At 36.8% G+C, this 23,127-nt stretch overlaps 1 long non-coding RNA gene across 1 annotated transcript in view; it reads right to left on the bottom strand.

The window, feature by feature from the left end:
- Positions 1-23,127, bottom strand: part of LINC02055 (long intergenic non-protein coding RNA 2055) — a 366,804-nt gene that overhangs the window by 311,478 nt on the left and 32,199 nt on the right. The gene's annotated exons all lie outside the window — the stretch shown is intronic.

Raw genomic sequence — 23,127 nt, 5'->3', positions numbered from 1 at the left:
CAGATACTGAGGCGGCTGAGTGGGGAGAATCACTTGAACCTGGGAGGCGGAAGTTGTAGGGAGCCCAGATCATGCTACTGTACTCCAGCCTGGGCGACAGAGCAATATTCCGTCAAAAAAAAAAAAAAAAAAAAAAGTTTCCTCCTAGAGTGAGGTCAAAACAATTTTTAAGGTAAAAAATAGTTTCCATATTACTTTTTACAAGTTAGATAATTTCACTCTTCACTTTCAGGCCATTAAGTCTAAAACAAATCATTTTGCACCATGTGAAGTAGGGCTCTGATTTCATTTGATTTTAATATGGAATACCAACTTACCCAGAACCATTCATACAAATATTCTTTCTCCCACTAGGTTGGAAATGTCAGTGATTTTATGAGTGGACTTTGCAAACAATTAGGAAACTTGACTTCTGCATTTATTTTGTTCTATGAATCTTATTCTTCATTTTATGTCAAAAACTTAGTGTCATAACTCAGCTAGGTTCACAATAATATTTATTATTGGAAAAGGAAAATCTCTCATATTCTTTATTTGCTACAAAATATGTATTTATTATTCTTGACTCTTTTTATTTCTGTATTTTATAGTCACCTTGACAATTTCTAAAAAACAAAAATCTGTTGAAATTTGTTGATTTTTTTTAAATTGTGGTTTTATTTGGGAAAAATTGATAGCTTTAAATATTTAACTTTTTAATTATGGAATTTTATTATTGTCTATGTGTATTAATGTCTTTACTGATATCTTTTAAACTGTTTTATAATTTTCCTGATAAACAAAACTTTCATGAGATTTATTTCTAAATTGTGTGCATATATTTTAATGTCACTTTAAAAGTATCATTCTAAGTTAAATTTTAAAGCATTTTTGCTGATGAGATGTGATTAATTTTTTTATTTAATATTTCACCTGAGTTAATAATCTCTTTTAATTCGAATTGTATACCTATAGATTATATTATTTTAAGCACCCATATTATCACTTAGAAATGAGAAGTTTTGAAAATTTTGTATATGTTACTTTTCTTTTTATTTCCCCATAAAACTTGCTAGGATATCCAATACAATGATGGGTATAGATACTGCAAAGCTTCATGCTTTTTTCTAATCTTAAAGGGAGTGTGTACTACTAAATATGTTTGTGTATCTATTTTTGTGAATATTTTTCATAAGGTTAATGAAGTTTCATTCTATTCCTGTAATAGCCAGAATTTTGTTTTACTTCTTTTTTTAATCAATGGCTGTTGAATTTTATCAAATACTTTCATTGTATCTATTGAGATAATCATATTATTTTTCTCAGCTAGTGTGTAAAGGTGGTATTAGGGAGACCCCCATCCACATAAGAAAATACTAACTCCATCATTCACACACAGCTAAACTCCACTTCTGTTTTTCTGTCAGTTGGAAATGGCCAGATGGTTGGGTTTTGGCTAACAGAATGTGAATAGCAATAAACCATATCACTGTCAGACTTAGCCACTAGAAATCACTTGTGTTTTCTCCTCCAAGATCTTTCTCATTTCCGGTCTGTGACATATTCAAAGCAAAGGTAGCAGAGCCTCCCACAGGTCTAGTCCCTGAAAGATGATATGAAAAAATACTTCCAAAATGGTAAAGTAAGAAACTCTAAAAATTTACTCCTCAAAAGAGCAATGAGAAAACTGGCAAAATTGACAAAATCCACTTTTTCAGAACTCTGAAAACTAATCAAAGACTTAGAACTCTCTGAGAAGCGCTGATTCAAGAAAATTAGCTGAATCCCTATTGGAACAGTGAGCTTTGTGGCATTTAATATTTCCTTATTGCCTTATATGCCTCTCTAGAGCTCCAAGTGGCATTGATTACCAGTAGCCTCACAATCATGGCAGCTGTGGCAACAAGCAGCCAAGAAGGTTCTCGGTGGGTATAGGGTGTCTTGGCCCTCCCAGAAGTCCCAATCCAAAGAATTTTCACTCTTTTACCTAGAGTAACTCCCTGAAAAAACTTATTTGAGACTTGCCTTATTTGACCATAGTCAGACCTTACTCAGTAAAAATGCCCTCCCCAGGTGTTTGTTAAAAATGATTCCAGGCAATTATTTAACACCCTCACTGTTTAGAACAGTAAAACGAATCAGCAAAAAACAAGTGATTGAACAAACATTTGAAAAGAAAACCTGTGTAATGAGATATCCAGGGAGATCTGAAAAGCTTTGGCATATTCCTGGAATCTAGAAGACTAAGCACATGTGCAGGGACGCATACTTGTTCAGGAAAGGCCTGAGAAAGCTCTATTTTCTCACCTGTGTCTGATTTTGACACTACCCACAAGCAAGGTGTGAAAGCCAAGGATGAGTTTAACCTGACTGAGCATTAAAGAAGTGCCTCAGCAAACATAGAGTGCTTACAGCCTCGCCACTATCTATTATATTTTGACTTTTTAATAATAGTCATTCTGACTGGTGTGAGATGGTATTTCATTGTGGTTTTGATTTGTATTTCTCTAATGATTAGTGATGTTGAGCATTTTTTTTCATGTGCTTTTTGGCCACATATGTCTTCTTTTGAAAAGTGTCTGATTCTTAGCAAACTAATGAGGGAACAGAAAAGCAAATATTGCATATTCTCACTTATAAGTGGGAGCTAAGTGATGAGAACACATGAGCATATAGAGGGGAACAACACACACTGGGGCCTATCAGAAGGCAGAGGGTGGGAAGAGGGAGAGGATCAGAAAAAATAACTAATGTATGCTAAGCTTAATAACTGAGTGATGAAATAATATGTTCAACAAACCCCCATAACCCACATTTACCAGTGTAGCAAACCTGCACATGTATGGCTCAACTTAAAATAAACGTATTAAAAAAAAAGAAAAGCATCTGTTCATGTACTTTGACCACTTTGTAATGGGGTTACTAGTGTTTTGCTTGTAAATTTGCTCATGTTCCTTATGGATTCTGGATATTAGACCTTTATCAGATGCATAGATCACAAATATTTTCTCCTATTCTGCAGTTTGTCTGTTTATTCTTTTGATAATTTCTTTTGCTATACAGAAGCTCTTTAGTTTAATTAGGTCTCATTTCTAACATACCCGACGTTCAAGAAATACTAACGTGATCCTACAGGCTGAAATGGAAGGACACTGGTTTGTAACTCAAATCCATATAAAGGAATAAAGAACAGCAATTAACACTCTCAATAAAGGTAACTACATAGGTATATATGGAGGACATTATAATGTATTTTTTAAGTCTTCTCTCTGATTTTAAGATACACTGCAGAGAGCAATAATTATAAAATTATGTTGGTGGTATTAAAATATACAAACTGCAATTTGCTTGAAAATAACATAACTTGAAAGGCAATAAAATTTTATTGGTTCAACTTTTTAATACTGTTGAATTTAATTTATAATTAATCTAAACTAGATTATTTTCAAGCTATGATAATTATAATCCCCTATGGATTATAATTATAATAATAAAAATTAGGCTGTATGGAGAAATAATTGTGCTTTCTAAAATAGAATATACACCTTGCACTGTTAAACATAAATAAATTTTGTATTATTTGAACTATTATGTGTTTTCTTTATTTGTTTATTGATTTATTCCTGTGTTTACAGTTACATAGACTAATACATATGCTAAATAACATTGTTAATATTTTTGGTATCAAACTTTCCTTGACCTGAGATAAACTGAAATTAGTCACAATGTATTGTGCTTTTTATTTGTTGCTAGACTCAGCTGGTAAATAAAACTTAGTGGGGGTTTTGGATTCATGAGGAGATTAGTGTACAGTTTTCATTATTCTTAAAGGCTTTATCAGATTTTGACTAAAACGTGATATGTTAACCGTATAAATCAAAATAGAGTGTTATTGCCATTTTCATTTTCAATAATTCTCTAGAATTATTTATATAAATTGGATTTTTTGTTTTATGAAGGTAATATGTAACAGTAAAGCTCTCTACATTATTATTTTTATGAGCATATTTTAAACTACTGTCTGTTTTTATTTTTATAGGACTATTCACATTTTTATTTCTTCTTGAATCAATTTTACTGAGTTTCACTTTTCTAGACAGTTGATTCTGTGAAAATTTTTTCAAATTATTATATTTTTAAAACATCCTCTTATTAAATCTATCATGTTTGTAGTAGCTGCATTTCTATCTAGTTTTAAAATCCTAATATTGATATTTCACCTTTTATATATTAATCAAATTTTTAACACATTTGTTTTTCATAAGAAACAAATTTGGTTTTGTATATTGTTTCAAATTTTTGTTAGATTTATATTTTATTAATTTTGGTTTGGTTTTCATGCACATTATTTTATTCTACCTTCTTATGCTGAGTTTATTCTCTTCTTTACATAAATTCCTTAAATCAGATGCATAGGTCATTAATTTCAAACTGTATCCTGTAATAAAAATACTAAAACTACAGTGAGCCTGTAGGACTCACTAAAACTTTTTTATTAAAATACTGCTTTAGTTCCAACATGGAGTTTTTAAATATGATATGATCAATATTTTTCAATTTATATTATAAATAATTCCTGATGTATTTGTGATTTATAGGTGCATTTTAAACTTCATTTTTGTTACAAATTTTTGTCAAAGTTACATGTGCTCAGCAAATATATTCTGTAAGATGCCAATCATTTTACATTTTTGAGATGAGGTGAGCTCTATGGCTACTATGTGCCCATATTTTGAAAATGATTTATATGTACTGAAAATAACATATATCAGGCAAATGCTAGATGTTTCATATATGTCCATTAGATATCATGTTTTTCAGATAAAATATATAATGCCCTGTTAAATTTGAATTTTGAATAAATATTTTTAGTACTAATACAGCCCAAAATATTTAACTAAATACAAAATTAAGTAAACATCCTGCTTTGTTTTTTCTTTGCTAAATTAGGCAATGTTAATTAAATCAATCCTATTAATTTTGTTCTAAGCTTCTATATTATTTTTGCCTTCTTGATCTGTGATTGAGAAGAGAGTGTTAGAGCTTTTCGCATAATTTTGGATTTGTTAAAGTCTTCTTTTACTTATATCAAGCTTTGTTTCATATAATTTGAGGTTATATCATGCCATACATTAATACTGATTTTTTTTATGTTTCAAGTGTGTTTAATAGATTTTTCAAAATTCTTTGCTGATCCTCTTAAGATCTAGTAATGATTTTTGTCTTGCATTCTATTTCCTTAGTGTCAACATAGCTATAGCAGCTTTTTATTTCTTTGTATTTAATTAATTCAACAAATATTTATTGAATGTCTATTAAATGCTATGCTCATATCAAAGAAAAATGAAACACAAACACAGAAAAAATAAGTCCCTGATCTCCTAAGACATTATAATTGTGCAAGACAAATTAATAAACTATATACTGAATTTTATTGTGATACATGCTTTAGAAAATAATTAGAGAAGAACGGGAGTACCAAGGTTGGCCTCACTGAATTTACAATATATAAGAATTAGATTCTGAGTTTTGACCTGGGCGTCTTTGGTTTATTTTACTGATTCATGAAAACAGGTGATGAAAACTTTGTGTTTAGTTCTGATGGTTCAAAAGTCAAGCAGATGTAGTGAGGTTGTCAGTATTAGAGGATGTGGTGATAGGGTCCATGCTAGAGTGACTAGAAGTTCTAGGGCCACTTCTCCATTTCCACTAATAATAACTGGATGGTGAGAAGTGAGTGGCGCTCTCAGAACACAAAAGATGCTAACTTCTCGATTTTTGACCATGGTATTAAGGATGGACATAGGTGCATACATCAACAGAGAGGGCAATATTAAAATATAACAAAACTCATAAAAGTAAAAGTTGCCCTTCATTAATTCCAGTGCCAGTATTTCTACCTTACGCTTTTTTTATTTTAAATTTTTCGTGTATTTTTGAGACAGGGTCTCTCTCTGTTGCCCAAGGTAGAATGCAATGGTTGTGCTCATGGCTCACTGCAGCCTCGACCTCCTGGGCTCAAGCAATCTTCCTGCCTCAGCCTCCCAAGTAGCTGGGACTACAAGCATGTACCACCACACCCTGCTAATTTTTTTACTTATTTTATTGATTTATTTATTTGCACAGACAAGTCTCACTATGTTGCCCAAGCTGGTCTTGAATTCCTGGGCTCAAGTAATCCTCCCACCTTGGCCTCTCAAAGTGCTGGGGTTACAGGTATGAGAAACCACACTCAGCTTTAAATATTTATTAAATAATGGTATAGATGAACAATATTGAGCACACTGAAATTACTTTTTTAAACTTAAATCTCGTTCTCGTAAAAAAAGAAAAAACACATTTCAAAAGTGCCTATAATGTAAATAGCCAACTTAACACATTTTTACACCTTGAGAACTAATGTAACCGTTCCAGTCCAGATATATATTAACAATCATTCAAGAGTCCTCCTCATGACCTACCCAATCGCACACTCTGAGTCTTCAGTTTGCCTTATTTTGTTTCTTTGACTCGACATGATGCTAATGAAATTCATCCAAGTTGCTTGAAAGTGCTGTGATTCATATTCTAACTGTTAGTTACTATTCCCCTGTTTGATTACACCACATTTTTAGTACTTATGGATACCTGGGTTGTTTCCAGTTTTGTGCTAATATGAAGAGTCATAATATGAACAGTTTTAGCACGTCTCCTTGGACGAATATGTACTTTTTCTATTGATTATGAAGAAGTTCTGGAATGGCACAGCCACAGGATATAAGTTTCCACAGATTTAGTAGATTATGCCACCTTTTTTCTAAAATATTTATACAAAATTTACCTTCTATCCATATAGTCTGAGCAGTGTATTATTACTCCACATCTCTACAACTTTTGGCACCAATGCATTTACTCATTCATTCATTATTCATTTTCAACAGCTACTGAGTAGGTAGTGCTATCTAATTGTACTTTCCTGATTGTTAATAAAGTTGACCACTTTCTCATAAGTTTATCTGTCATTCGTATTTTCCACCTTGTGAAGTGTGTCCTTTTCTAGCACATTATCTGTTGTTTTCTAATTGGTTTGTGCTAGACAAGTATGTATCTGTATAACAGTGGTTGTTCTTAAGATTATATTTTGATGCACATTAGCTCTTAATTTGATGAAGGTAACCTTATCAATAATTTCCTTTACCAACTGGGATCACATATTGCGTGACAAGCCTTTCATTTTCTGAGATCAGGAAGATATTTTCTTGAAGTCACACAGAAAGTGAGTGGCTAAGCAGGTGAAAATCTGAGTCTGAGGGGTTCCAATGACTGTGACCTTCTCACACTGCCAGCAAGACATTTGCTCCATCTGAAAACAAAGCAAAGCAGAAACAACTTCCCCCAAACAAAAACGTATGCACTGGAAATGTGCAGCGGTCATTATCAGAGTTATACAATGTACAGAGTGTGAATGAATCCTTTGTAATTTCTCTCTTTTTTTTTTTTTTTTTTTTTTTTGAGACAGAGTCTCGCTCTGTCGCCCAGGCTGGAATGCAGTGGCGCGATCTCGGCTCACTGCAAGCTCCGCTTCCCGGGTTCACGCCATTCTCCTGCCTCAGCCTCCCGAGTAGCTGGGACCACAGGCACCTGCCACTACGCCTGGCTAATTTTTTATATTTTTAGTAGAGTGCTTTGGGAGGCTGAGGCAGGCAGATCACGAGGTCAGGAGATCGAGACCATCCTGGCTAACACGGTGTCATTTCTTACTAATGAGTTAGACACAGCCTTGGATGAACAAGAAGGAATAAACAAGTACATCAGAACAGTCTGTTTAGTCGAATTGAACGAATTCAGCAGCCTCTGGGACTGGGTAGTGTTCAGTAAATTATCTTTGCCCATGAACTAAGTGGCACCCCTTAAAGAGTTCATTCACCTCACATGGAATAGCAGTTTACATCAGATAACAGATTCTTCACCTCCATGATCCCGCCGGCTGCTATTATCTCAGAGATCTGTCACTGTCCTTTCACTTACATTTCCAGATCAGGCGGGGGAATTGGATGGCTTTGAACGCATAGCTAGTTTTTCCTTTGCCAATCTTTCAGACATGAATGTGCATATGGTGAACTGCTTTATGGAGGGAAAAGAGCTGGTTTAGAATATGTTTTGAGGGATGGAGGACACACTGTGTTCTTATTTAATGCAGCATATCACCATGCTGTGCTGTGATTTTGAGTTACTAGAAAAAAATTAAACAAAACATATTTACAATTAGTACATTAGTTGTAGTAATTTCACCTTCGTAACTTGTATTACTATCTTGTACTCCATACTTTATGGCCATGTGCATTAGGATGCTTCAGGTTGCAAGTGCTCTATCTTTTATATTTCAAACTTTGAAACACACGCACACACACATATACATGTATATACACACATACATATGCATATGTTAATCTGCTTAATCTTCATTGAGCAGATGATAGATGCCAGCCTCATTTAAAATTATGTAGGAATTGAGGTATAGGGCCATTAGCCATGCCTGAGTTCACACAACTGCTAAGTGTTAGAAATGAATTTAAACGTATATTGGTATGAAGTCCATGCTCTTAAAGACTATACGAAGGTACTAGTACCTTGCACTGAATGGACAGAGATCAAAAGTTTGTTAGGTAAAAAATATTTAGGCCAAATGACTTGATGTTTGAAAAATACATTGCAGGATATGAAATTCCAGAGTAACAGCAAAATGAGGACAAATGTTAATAAACCAATTCAACACATGTAAAACAAGACACAATCAATAAATGGAACTGGTCACATAGTTTAATATAAAGTTAAGATAAATGAACACCTAGATAGTTTATGCTTTGGCATGGTACCATTCTTGATCAATGTCATAGTGGAAATTATGTGTGTGTGTGTGTGTGTGTCTGTGTGTGTCTGTACAATAGTGCTTTATGACTCAAGTTGGATTTGGTCTTTACTTACACATATCCCTAGACACACAAATGGTGAGATAGTAATTATATTCTTCAATTTATGTGTGGGCAAACTGTCAGAAAGAGTCTAAGTGAAATTCTGTCTCAGTTTACCTATATGTAAATTTGAAAATATATTTATTTCCCCAACTTAACTTCCAAGGATCATAAAATCAATACGTAGTCAAGCCAGGATTTTAAACCACTTCCAGTCAGTGTTAAATTTAGTAAGTTTTCATCTGTATCTTGCTATACCCTTACCAAGGTGTGGCGATGCTTACTAGCTATTTCTGATATTGTTGGTGAAAGATCTCGTGTATCAGCAGAGACTGGAAATAAGGCTTGACAGAAGGTGCCTTCTACAGGCTAAGCTTTTGCAAGGAAATGCTCATCAGTTCCAAACCGATTAACAACTAGATATGAAACATGTGAGAGTCTAGCTGAGAACTCACTGCTATTTCTTTGTAATGCTCAAAATTACACAGAGAATCACTCACTCTCCTTTTGTGTAGCTATTGCTTCTGTTTCAAGTCATTTTAATTCCATTAAGTGTTTATTAATTTCCATTGCTTCTGAAACTCAATTTGGATTTTCAATGGGAATCAGACTTTCAATCTTCTTTTAAAATAGAAACTCAACTTTCTTGTTTTTGCTCTTGCAGGGAGGTATTTGAATCTTGTCTGGACTAGATGACACACATTTTTTAATTGGGAGTGGATACCTGGCCATTGCATTTCTGAAGAAAAATACTTTCTGACTATGAAAATAGGGAAGAAAAACAGCCTTTGTGTTTGACAAGGTTTATATTTCAGTTTTTGCACATAAACAGGACTTTTTCTGAGTGATGCCTGGAATCAGGTATCAGGGCTATGAAAGAAAAGAAGAAAATAAGATTTTTTAAGGTAGGATAATGGGGTTTGTTTCTAAAGTTTGAGATATTGGTGGTATGGTTTGGCTGTGTCCCCACCCAAATCTCATCTTGAATTGTAGCTCCCATAATCCTCAGTGTCATGGAAGGAACTTAGTGGGAGGTAATTGAATCATGGGGGTGGGTTTTTTTCTGTGCTGTTCTCATGATAGTGAATAAGTCCCACTAGATCTGAAGGTTTTATAAAGGGCAGTTCCCTTGCACATGCTCTCTTGCCTGCCTCCATGTAAGAAATGTTTTTGCTCCTCCTTCACCTTCTTCCGTGATTGTGAGGCCTCCCTAGCCATGTGAAACTGTGAGTCCATTAAACCTCTTTTTCTGTATAAATTACCCAGTTTCAGGTAAGTCCTTATAAGAGTGTCAAAACAGACTAATACAATTGGGGAGGAGGAAAAAGTTGGGAGAGATGGATGCAAGGGGTGTCAGGTGTCAGAACTGAATGTGTGCCCAAAGCGTGTGAATGCCTGCTGGCAGGTGCTTTGTGGTGGGTTGGCAGGAGGGCCCAGAAGAGGGGTGTCACTCAGATGCTTAGAAATACAATGGATTGGGCCGGGCGCGGTGGCTCACGCCTGTAATCCCAGCACTTTGGGAGGCCGAGGCGGGCGGATCACGAGGTCAGGAGATCGAGACCATCCCGGCTAAAATGGTGAAACCCCGTCTCTACTAAAAATACAAAAAAATTAGCCGGGCGTAGTGGCGGGCGCCTGTAGTCCCAGCTACTTGGGAGGCTGAGGCAGGAGAATGGCGTGAACCCGGGAGGCGGAGCTTGCAGTGAGCCGAGATCCCGCCACTGCACTCCAGCCTGGGCGACAGAGCGAGACTCCGTCTCAAAAAAAAAAAAAAAAAAAAAAAAAGAAATACAATGGATTGGTGTTCTCTCTTTAAGGAAATGGGGGTTTCATGTGCATCTGAGCACAGGTTTATGTTGGCTGAAAAACCCATGTTGCTGATAGCATAAGTGCCCTCACCAACCACAGTCACTTCAGGAGTATGAGTGATTCTGGGATGATGCAACAGTACCTTCCTCATCCCTCAAGGCACTTTCTGAGAATGACTCTGTGCAGCTTGCCCCCTTCTGATGCCAAGGACATCTGTAAAAATAAAAGGAGGCCCTTGCATCCCTGTCAAAGCAGGGAAGAGGTGACTCTTTCACTGTATCCTGGCTGCACCAGAGCACCCAGAGCTGGGGCAGAGCAGCTAGGGTAAGTATTTCAGAGACCATGGTGATTGTGCTGTAAGAAACCATTGACTGACGGAATGTGAACATTTGACAATTAACATAAAAGCTACTATGTGCCAGGAATGGCTATAACAACACTGGATCTTTTATGTTTTTAATTCTCATTTTTAAAAAATTCTCATGATTACCCAGTGAAATAGGTATTTACATCTCTACTTTAAGAAAAGAATGAGTTGGAACTGAGAGAGTTATAAAGTGTGCTTATAATCGCTTGCATTGGGCACAGCACCAGGATCAGACACTTTGTTTGGTTGAACATCAAAGCCCTCCTTCTCTTTGATGATGTGACACTGTTTCTTTGCGCTAATTCTCTGTGTGGCTTTAGGCAAGTCATTTTAAGTACTTTGGACCTCAAGCAACGTATTTGAAAGTGCAGAACAAAATGGCTGTCCATCACCATTCTTTGCAAGATTGCCTTCCAGTGTGGAGGTGTGAAGAGGTGGGCCACGTTTGCAATTTTTTCACCTTAAACACATGCAACCATATACTACTGAAAAACTATATTAAAACTGTTTATCTCTCTTGATCCTGCTTTGCTGTATGTGCTTTTCTTGGAGATTGAGGAAGGAGATGAGAGTGTATCAGTGTCACTAAGGCAAGAGCAGTCCTGCCGTAATATCGCTCTTGGATGAAAGGAACCTTTCCTTTGTGCCTGGTTTGTATTGGAACTGCTGTAGTTTCAAGTCTATCCTTCTTTCACCATCATCAAGAATCAGACAAGGCCTGAAGACATTTAGGGAATGCCTGATTGCTTCCTCTCCGTTCTGAGTTGGGTTGAGGGTCACGGCTGATGTGGGAAGAGCCAAAGGGGAAGCTTCTCAGGGTGTTTCTCACAGTGAATCATGCCAGCACTCTGCATCATCCTCGAGCTGTCCAGTTTGATTGATACCAAAGGCTTTATACATTGGAAAAAGATAACCCAAGATAAATTTCACAGCATTTGTAATGAGGCAGGAGAGGGTAAAAGATCAACAAACTCTAATGCTGTTCTAGAATTCTTCATCTGAATCAGCTCCAGGAAATGAAGGTCACACAGTGGTCAAGGAAAAATAATAGCAGGCTCTAAGTTTAAGTGTCCCTTAGATTTAACTAGTGAAGGGGGAAATAAAAAAGTGGAGCAAAAAAACACCCTTCACAATCCAAAATTCCTCTTCCCTAAGATGTCACTAATCCCTTTCAGCTGTGGCACTCAAGTGGAGAATGGGATGGACCCTTTGAAAAAAGTCTGGTGGCTGTCTCATGATGTGGGATATGTGTGGGGGTGTCCCCAGAGGCTGGGTTTTGTGTAACACTGTTACAACCCCATCTGGCACCATCTGGCCTCTCCCCTCCCATGTAAGAAGGTCAGACAAAACAAACAAACAACAACAACAAAAAAGAGATAAACAAAAAAAAACACCAAAGCTTTGACTTGCCTAAAGAAAAATACAGAGATTGAATGGGTCTCCATTTTTTATCTCTCCACACACCTTTGAAAGTATCCTTGCTCTTGAAGTCACGTAATTCATTAGTTAATCTTATGCTGGCATTGTACTGCATTTTCCTCTGTTGTCTGTGAGCCAGTCAGGCCTCTTTTGTGGGTTTATGTGTTCCACAATATGTACAAAGATGGTCAATAATAAGTTGAAAAGAAATAAAATGGAGCAATAAAAAGTTCAAGGCTTGACACACCACTAATTAATCATAAGGCTGAAAAACTATAGCAGATGGATATATACTAGATAGAAGAGGATTTTTTTCTTTGTGACTGGAAGTGGTACACCAAATCCAGGAGCATATGTGAGTCATATTTGAGAGAGGAAGGGACAACATGAAGAATTCTGCCTGAGAACCAGCTGTTGTGTATGAGACCAGAAATGAGTCTATTAAGAAAGGCTGTCTGAGGACAGACTGAGGGTTGATGGGAGAGATGGCTAGAAGACAAAGCTAAACAGCCTAAGTTGTAGACCATGATCAGTTAAAGTGAATTGTGAAGAGTATGATATAATTTGGAGACTTTATTTTCTACCAAAGAAATCCTGTGTTCCAGAGTGGGCTGGTGTCCTGAAAGCAGGGCTCAGCCCAGAATAGTGGAGGAGCTGGAAAAGAACTGAAGAACATGGGACAGTGGGTGATGGGAAGTCCCTCCCTGAAGAAAGTTTAGTAAGAGGATACAGAGAATGTCAAGATGTCAAATACAATCAGCCAGTTTGGTGGAAGCACAAAAAAGTTTGAAACAATGAGCATGCAGGCAAAGTCAGCAGAATCTAAAGCACTGAATGGTTCAGAAAGTGGGGAAGGGTATCAAAGTAAGGGAGAGAGCTTCACAGGAGGCCTATGTGAAAAGGGAAATGTTAAGGACATAAGAACACTGGGCTTGTGTGGATGTCAAATACTGGACCATTTTTCAAATTTAGTTCAGCTGTTTAATGGCAAAGAGATGGGATAGACCCTGCATAATGATGGAAATACAATCCAATTCCTTGAGCCACAGTTTTCTTACCCATAAGATAAAAAAGATAAATAAAGACACTCTATTAGTTCATGCTCATGTTGCTAATACAGACATACCCAAGATTGGGTAATTTATTTTAAAAAAAGCGGTTTAATGGACTCACAGTTCCGCATGGATGGGGAGGCCTCACAAAAATGGTGGAAGGGGAAGGAAACACATCCGTCTTCACATGAAGGCAGGAAGGAGAAGTGCCAAGAAAAGAGGGGAAAACCCCTTATAAACAGTCAGATCTTGTGAGAACTCAACTCACACATTATCACAAAAAACAGTAGCATGGGTTAACCACCCCCATGATTCAATTATCTCCCACTGGGTCCCTTCCATGACACATGGGGATTATGGGAACCACAATTCAAGATGAGATTTGGGTGAGGACACAGCCAAACCATATCATTCTGCTTCTGGCCCTTCCCAAATCTCATGTACTCATATTTCAAAAGCAATCATGCCTTTCCATCAGTCCCTCAAAGTTCTAATTCATTCCAGCATTAACCCAAAAGTCCAAGTCCAAAGTCTCATCTGAGACAAGGCAAGTCCCTTCTACCTATTCCACCTATGGGCCTGTAAAATCGAAAGCAAGTTAGTTACTTACTAGATATGATGAGGGTACAGGCATTGGGTAATAGCAGCCATTCCAAATATGAGAAATTGGCCAAAATGAAGAGGCTACATGCCCCATGCAACTCCCAAATTCGGTGGGGCAGTCAAACCTTAAACTCCCAAATTATCTCCTTCAATTTCATGTCTCACATCCAGGGGCACCGATGCAAGAGGTGGGTTCCAATGGTCTTGGGCAGCTTCACTTCCCTGGCTTAGCAGATACAGTCCCCACCTGGTTGCTTTCATGGGCTAGTGTTGAGTGTCTATGGCTTTTCCTGGCGACTGGGGCAAGCTGTTGGTGGATCTACCATTCTGGGGTCTGGAGAACAGTGACTCTCTTCTCATAGTTCCACTAGGCAGCGCCCAAGTGAGGACTCTGTGGGGGCCGCAACACCACATTTTCCTTCCACCCTGCCCTAGCAGAGGTTTTCCATGAGGGCTTGCCTCTACAGCACACCTCTGCCTGGACATCCAGGTGTTTCCATACATCCTCTGAAATCTAGGCAGAGGCTCCCAAACCTCAATTCTTGACTTCCGCACACCAACCAGCTCAACACAATGTGGAAGCTGCCAAGACTTGGGGTTTGCACACTCTGAAACAGCGGCCTGAGCTGTACATTGGCCCCTTTTAGTCACGGCTGGAATGGCTAGGAAGCAGAGCATCAAGTCCCAAGGCTGCACACAGCAGGGGGACCCTGGATCTGGCCTAGGAAACCAGTTTTCTCCCCTAGGCCTCCAGGTCTGTGATGGGACGGGCTGCTGTGAATGTCTCTGACATGATCTTGCCCCATTGCCTTGGTGATTAACATTTGGCTCCTCATTACTTATGCAAATTTCTGCAGGGCTTGATTATCTCTCCAGAAAAATGGGATCTTCTTTTCTATTGCATTGTCAGGCTGCAAATGTTTTTCAAAATTTTATGCTCTGCTTCATGCTAAATACTTTGCTGCTTAGAAATTTTTTCCACCAGAAACCCTAAACCATCCCTCTCAAGTATAAAGTTCCACAGATCTCTGGGGCAGGGGAAAAATGCCACCAGCCTCTTTGCATAGCAAGAGTGACCTTACTGCAGTTCCCAACAGATTTCCCATCTCCATCTGAGAGCACTTCAGCCTGGACTTCATTGTCCATATCACTATCAGCATTTTGGTCAAAGCCATTCAACAAGTATTTAGGAAGTTTCAAACTTTCCCACATTTTCCTCTCCTCTTATGAGCCCTCCAACTGTTCCACCCTCTGTCTGTTACCAAGTTTCATAGTCACTTCCACATTTCTGGGTATCTTTATAGTAGTACTGTACTCTCTGTGGTACCAATTTACTGTATTAGTCCATTCTCATGCTGCTATAAAGAACGGCCCAAGACTGGGTAATTTATAAAGGAAAGAGGTTTAATTAACTCACACCTCCCACCAGGTCCCTCTCTTGATATGTGGGGATTATGGGAACTACAATTCAAGATAAGATTTGGGTGGGGACACAGCCAAACCATATCAGACACTCTTCAACTTTAATTATAAGTATAAAATGAAATAAATGATGTAAACAATTGTGTTAATTTAAAAAAATAATTAATATGATTAAGTATTTTATTGTGTGCCAAGCAGTGTGTTTCACACATTTATTTTATCTATTTCTCCAAAACATAATGCTAGCTTACCTTGTTAAAGCCTTGTGACATAGGAATGCTGTTTATCCTCAGAGAAGTAGGCTCAGGGAGAAGCTGCGTAACTTATCATTAGTCACATAGCTAGTCGGTATCAGAGTTAATATTTGAATCCAGGAACTTCTTATGCCAAAGCTCAAGGTTTTGGCTACTAAATTGTGTGTACACTGAAGTTTTAACTTGTGAGACAGTTCTGGCAGGAGGATTTGTGCAAAAGGGTATTCTAGATGAAGGGCTGTATGCCAGTTATCAAACAGGGTTAATAAATTATCTGAACAGACCTGTCCTTCCTGGTTGACTTACATCCTGCCCTTTTACTGTCTTCCTTAGAGTTTAAAGGCATTATTTCTGACATTTATTTAGTATAGTAGCAAGACCTAAATGTTGTAACACTGTTCTATTACTTTCCGTTACATGAAGTAGAATATCAGAAGGTTCTTTTTTCCTTCCTTCATCATCTTTACAGTATAGATATTGAGTAGGAATCAACAGATACTTCTAATAATGATTAACATCTGTTTTGCCAATCCCTTTAGCTGTCGAAGAGTCAAAATCTGTAGATGTCCCTTGAGACCACTTCACATCCTGAAAGTATATGGACCTGTGATTTACTGAGTTTTCCCTACTTTCCCTCAAAAAAATGCGCAAGACAAAAAAGAATGTTTAAGATTTGATTACTTCCCATAATGAGCAACTTTAAAATATTGATGTGAAGATACAATCAGACATTTTTGCTTGTCCTCTATTATTTTTACTTGCACATATTTAACATTAAATAAGGCACAATATTTCCTTACTGCCTTTCTTTTCCCTTATCTTGGTAGCATAAAATATATTGCATTAACATTTAGACTCATGCATATAATAAACACTCAGGGGTGGTCTGACATGTGGTAATGCCTTTGTACAAACACAGTCTAACTTACAATGATTCTTTTATACAAACACACACACAGAAACAGAGTAACGCATCATTGCATGATTCCAGTCACATCCATATATATAGTTAAACATATGTAGCTCTTTAACAGAGTATAGCACTCTTTCCTTCCTGTTCTATCTCATCGTTATTACTCTTGTTTTGTCAATGTCTTTCTCATCATTTACTCTCACATTTTTGACATTCTGAAGTGTGCATATGTTCATTCATGTATTTATAAAATATTCATTTATTAAGCACCCACAATTCTGCCAGGCATTTGACACCAAGGGTAAAAATATTGAACAAGTCAGCCAAATTCCTGTTTTCATGGAGCTTGCATTCTAGTGGAAGATAATAGAAAAGGCAAAAATCAGTACACAAAAAATGCTATTTCAGAGAATAAATAATAAAAATAAAAAGGAATCATCACCTTTGAATTTTTCAATCCATTCTTTATTTATTCAGTTAATATTAGGCACCCATAATCTCCCAGGAAATGCACCAGAGGCTGAAAATAAAATGGAAATGAATAACATAGCAGGGCAAACTCACAGTGGTTGAGGAAATAAGGAGAGAGGCAGGAGACAGATTTGCCTTGAATATGAAGAGAGTAAAAGTAAATTGTTTCAAAAATCCGAATGCATATGCCATAGAGTAGACATCGCACTTAAAACACATTGCGGTCCCATTTGTCTACTCTTGCTTTGTTGCCATTGCTTTTGGAGACTTCATCATGAAATCAATGCCAATGCCTATGTCCAGAATGATATTTCTTAGGTTTTCTTCTAGGGTTTTTTACAGTTGTACATTTTACATTTAAGTCTTTAATTCATTTTGAGGTGATTTTTGTATATAGTGAAAGGAAGGTGTTCAGTGTCAATCTTCTGCATATGGCTAACCAGTTAACTCAGCAGCATTTATTGAACAGGGATTTCTTTCACCATTGCTTGTTATTGTTGATTTTGTTGACTAGCAGATGTCTGTACGTATCTGGCTTTATTTCTCAGTTCTTTAACCTGTTCCATTGTCCCATATGTCTGTTTTTGTACCAGTACCATACTGTTTTGTTTACTGTAGTCTTGTAGTATAGCTTAAAGTTGGGTAGCATGATGTGTGATGCCTCCAGCAATTTTTTTTTTCTTAGAATTGCTTTGGCTATTTGAGCTTGTTGTGGGTTCCATATAAATTTTAGAATAGTATTTTCCAATTTTGTGAAAAGTGACTGATATGGTTTGGCTCCTTGTCCCCACTCAAATCTTGTAATCCCTAATGTTATGGAAGGGACCTGGCGGGAGGTAATTGGATCATGGAGGCAGATTTTCCACTTGCTGTTCTCTATGGCATATGCTGTTCTGAGTTCTAGTGAGTGAGTTCTCATGAGACCTGGGTTTTTTAAAGTGCGTAGCACTTCCCCATTCACTCTTTCTCCTGGCACCACGTGAAGACAGGCTTGCTTACCCTTTGCTCTTTCCCCATGATTGTAAATTTTCTGAGGCCTCCCCATCCATGCCTCCTGTACAGCCTGTGGAACTGTGAGTCAATTAAACCTCCTTTCTTTATAAATTACCCAGTCTCAGGTAGTTCTTTATAGCAGTGTGAGAACAAACTAATAAAGGGACATTGATAGTTTGATAGGAATAACAATGAATCTGTAAATTGCTTTGGGCACTATGGCTATTTTAACAATATAGATTCTTCCTATCCATGAGCATGCAATCTTTTTCTACTTTTGTGTCATCCCTGATTTCAGCAGTGTTTTGTAATTGTCATGGTAGAGATCTTTAACCTCCCTGGTTAGCTGTATTTCTAAGTACTTTATTCTTTTTCTGGCTATTGTAAATGAGATTGTGCTGTTGATTTGGCTCTCAGCTTGGGTGTTTTAGTACATAGAAATGATACTGATTTTTGTACATTAATTTTGCATCCTGAAACTTTACTGAAGTTGTTTATCAGTTCTAAGTGCCTTTGGGCAGAGACTATGGGATTTTCTAGGTATAGAATTTTATTGTCTGTGAAAAGAGATACTTTTTTTCCCCTCCTATTTAGATGCCTTTTATTTCTTTCTCTTGTCTGATTGCTTTGGCTAGACTTTCAGTACTACGTTTAATAGGAATGGTGAGACTGGGAGTCCTTGTCTTGTTCCAGTTCTCAGGGGGAATACTTCCAGCTTTTGCCCATTCAGTATGATGTTGGCTGTTGGTTTTTCTAGATGGCTCCTATTATTCTGAGGTATGTTCCTTTGATGTCTAGTTTGTTGAGTGTTTTACCATGAAGCGATGTTTAATTTTATTGAAAGCCTCCTCTGTCTATTGAGATTATCATCTAGTCTTCCTTTTTAGTTATGTCTATGTGATGAATGACATTATTGATTTGACTCTGTTGAACCAAACTTTCATCCTAGGAATAAAGCCTACTTTATAGTGGTGACTTAGCTTTTTGATGTGTTGCTGGATTGTGTTTGCTAGTATTTAGTTGAGGATATCTGCATCAATGTTCATCATCAGTGTTTGCCTGAAATTTTTATTTTCCATTGTATCTCTACCAGATTTTGGTATCACAATAATGCTGGCCTCATAGAATGAGTTAGGGAGTAGTGCTTCTTCCTCAATTTTTTTGGAATATTTCACTAGGACTGGTACCAGCTCCTCTTTGTAAATCTGGTAGAATTCAACTCTGAAGGCAACTGGTACAGGGCTTTTTCTGGATGATAGATTTTTTATTACCGATTCTGTTTTAGAACTTCTTATTGGTCTATTCAGGATTTAATTTCTTCCTAGTTAAATCTTTGGAGGTTGTATGTTTTCAGAAATGTATCCAATTATTCTATGATTTCTACTTTGTGTGCATAGAGGTGTTCATAATAGTCTCTATGGGTTTTTTTCATTTCTATGGAGTCAGTCATAATGTTACATTTTTCATCTTTGATTGTGTTTAAATTTTTTTCTTTGTTAATCCAGCAGAAGTCTATCAATTTTGTTTATCCTTTAGAAGAATCAACTTTTGGTTTCATTGACCTTTTGTATTAATTTTTACATATTAATCTCATTTGTGATATTAGGTTGTTAATTTGAGATCTACCTAACTTCTGAATGTAGGCATTTAGCAATATAAACTTTCCGCTTAACCCTGCTTTAGCTGTGTCCCAGAGATTTTGATGTGTTGTATTCTTGTTTTCGTTAGTTTCAAAGAATTTTTTGATTTCTGCATTAATTTTACTCTTTATCTAAAACTTAGGAGCAGGTTGTTTAATTTCAATATAATTGTATAATTTTTAGAGATCTTCTTGGTATTTATTTGTATTTTATCGTGCTGTGGTCTGAAAGTGTTGTTGGTATCATTTTGGTTCTTTTTTGTATTTATTGAGATATCTTTATGGCTGGGCGTGTGGTTGATCCTAGAGTATGTGCTTTGTTCAGGTAAGAAGAATGTATATTATGTTGTGCAGAGTATTCAGTAGATGCCTCTGGACGGCAAAAGAAATTGTCAACAAAGTAAACAGGCAACTCGCAGAATGGGAGAAAATTCATCCAGTTGGATGAATACTCTGTAAATATTGGATATTAAATTCAAAGTCTAATATCCAGAATTTATAAAGAACATAAACAAATCAACAAGCAAAAGCCAAACCACTTCATTAAAACATAGGCAAACTATATAAACAGAAACTTCTCAAAAGAAGACATAAATGCATCCAACAAGCACGTAAAAAATGCTCAACATCACTAATCATTAGAGAAATGCAAATCAAAACCACAATGATATATCATCTCACACCAGTCAGAATGGTTATTATTAAAAAGTCAAAAATAACAGATTTTGGAAAGGCTGTGAAAAAAATAAGAATGCTTATACACTGTTTGTGGGAATGTAAATTAGTTCAGCCATTGCAGAAAGTTTAGAGACCTCTCGAAGAACTTAAAACGTAACTACCATTAAACCCAGTAATTGTAGTACTAAGTATATACCCAAGGGAATATAAATCATTCAACCAAAAAGACACATGCACTTGTATATTCGTCACAGCACTATTCACAAAAGCAAAGACATGGAATCAACCTACAGGCCCCTCAATTGTGGACTTGATAAAGAAAATGTGCTACATGTATATTTTGGAATACTACGCAGCCATAAAATATGAAATCATTCCTTTGCAGCAACATGGCTACAGCTAGAAGCCATTATCCTAAGTGAATTAATGCAAGAACAGCCAACCAAATTTCACACTTTTTTACTTATAAGTAGGAGCTAAACATTGAGTACAAATGGACACAAAGATGGGAACAACAGACACTAGGACCTACTTGAGGGGGAAGGGTGGGAGTAGAGGAATCGTTGAAAAACTACCTATCAAGTACTATGCTCACCACCTGGGTGACAAAATCATTTGTATACCAAACCCCTGCAACATGCAATTTACTCATGTAACAAACCTATACATGTACTGCTGAACCTAAAATAAAACTTGAAAAAAAAAGCAAATGAATAAGATACAATGAGGGATTTTTGTAAGAGCTATAACATAAGGGTCCAAATTCATTCTTTTTAATTTGAATCTCTCGTTTTCCCAACACTATTTAGTGAAAAGCCTACTTTTTCCAGTTGTGTATTCTTGACACCCTTGTCGAAGATCAGTTGACTGTAGTAGGTGCATGAACATATATATATATATATATATATATATATATATATATATATATATATGTACACACATAGATAAATATATGTCTGTGTATACCTACATATATAAATATAGATCTAGATTTCTGGAAACTCTATTTTGTTCCATTAGATTTTATGCCAGTACCATACTGTTTTAATGCTGGAACTCTGTAATATATATTCAATTAAGGAAGTGGGATGCCTATCTTTGTTCCTTCTCAAAATCACTTTGGCAATTTTTCATCTTTTGTGTCTTCATATATATTTTGGGATTGTGCTTTTTAATTTCTGTAAAAATACATGGGGATTTTGATGAAGATAGTAAGAATCTGTGGATTAATTTGGGTAGTAAGGGCATTTTAACAATGTTACATTTTCTAATCCATGAACATGTGATGTCTTTTCATTTATTGGCGACTTCTTCATAATGCTTCATCAATGTTTGACAGTTTTCAGTAAACGTTTTTTATCTTCTTGGTTTAGTCTATTTCTGCATATTTCATTTTTTTTTTGAGATGGAGTCCTGTTTTCTTGCCCAGGCTGGAGTGCAGTGGCATGATTTTGACTCACAGCAACCTCTGTCTCCCAGGTTCAAGAATTTCTCGTGCTTTAGCCTCCCAAGTAGCTGAGACTACAGGCATACACCAACATGTCCAGCTAATCTTTGTATTTTTAATAGAGACAGGGTTTCACCATGTTGGCCAGGCTGGTCTCGAGCTCCTGGCCCCAGGTGATTCGCCTGCCTCGGCCTCCGAAAGTGCTGGGGTTACAGTCGTGAGCCAGTGCACCTAGCTTCATATTTTATTCATTTTGATGCTATGGTAAGTGAGATTTCTAAAAACCTATTTTAGATATTTTATTTTTTGTATATAGAAACACAACTAAATTCTGTATGTTGATTTTGCATTCTACAGCTTTATTAAATTTATTAGTTCTAACAGTGTGTGTGTGTGTGTGTGTGTGTGTGTGTGTGTGTGTGTGTGTGTAGTCTTTAGGATTTTCTGCATATGAGATCATGTCATCTGCATTATTTCACTCATTTGAGGTATTTAAAATAGTCAAACTAATAGAAGCAGAGATCAGAATGGTTTTTTCCAGGAGCTGGTGGATAGGAAAATGGGGAGTTGTTATTCAGTAGACATAAAGTTTCAGTTATTTTATATACATAAGTTCTAAAAAGATGCTGTACGGCATACTGCCTATAGTTAGCAATAGTATTTTGCATTTAAAAATTTATTAAGAGTATAGACATGTTGAGTGTTTTGTTTTGTTTTGGTTTTTTGTTTGCTTGTTTGTTTGAGACAGAGTCTTACTCTGTCACCCAGGCTGGAGTGCACTGGCGTGATATCAGCTCACTGCAACCACTGCCTCTCGGGTTCAAGTGATTCTCCTGTCTCAGCCTCCCGAAAAGCTGGGATTACAGGTGCCTGCCACCACACCCACCTTTTTTGTGTTTTTAGTAGAGATGGGGTTTCACCATGTTGGTAAGGCTGGTCTTGAACTCCTGACCTCAGGTGATCCACCTGCCTCGGCCTCCCAAAGTGCTGGGATTACAGGTGTGAGCCACCGTGCCCGGCCATGTTGAGTGTTCTTACAACAAAAACAACCTAAAACAAAGAGGCACAAGCAAACTTTTAAAGTTGGTGGATATTCTATTAGCTTGGTTGTGATGATGGTTTCACAAGTA

The sequence above is a fragment of the Homo sapiens genome, chromosome 8 (genome assembly GCF_000001405.40).
Source record: "Homo sapiens chromosome 8, GRCh38.p14 Primary Assembly".
NCBI classification, from domain to species: Eukaryota; Metazoa; Chordata; class Mammalia; order Primates; family Hominidae; genus Homo; species Homo sapiens.
Note: the sequence above shows the minus strand (reverse complement) of the source record. Positions and strands in the feature narration are given on the sequence as shown.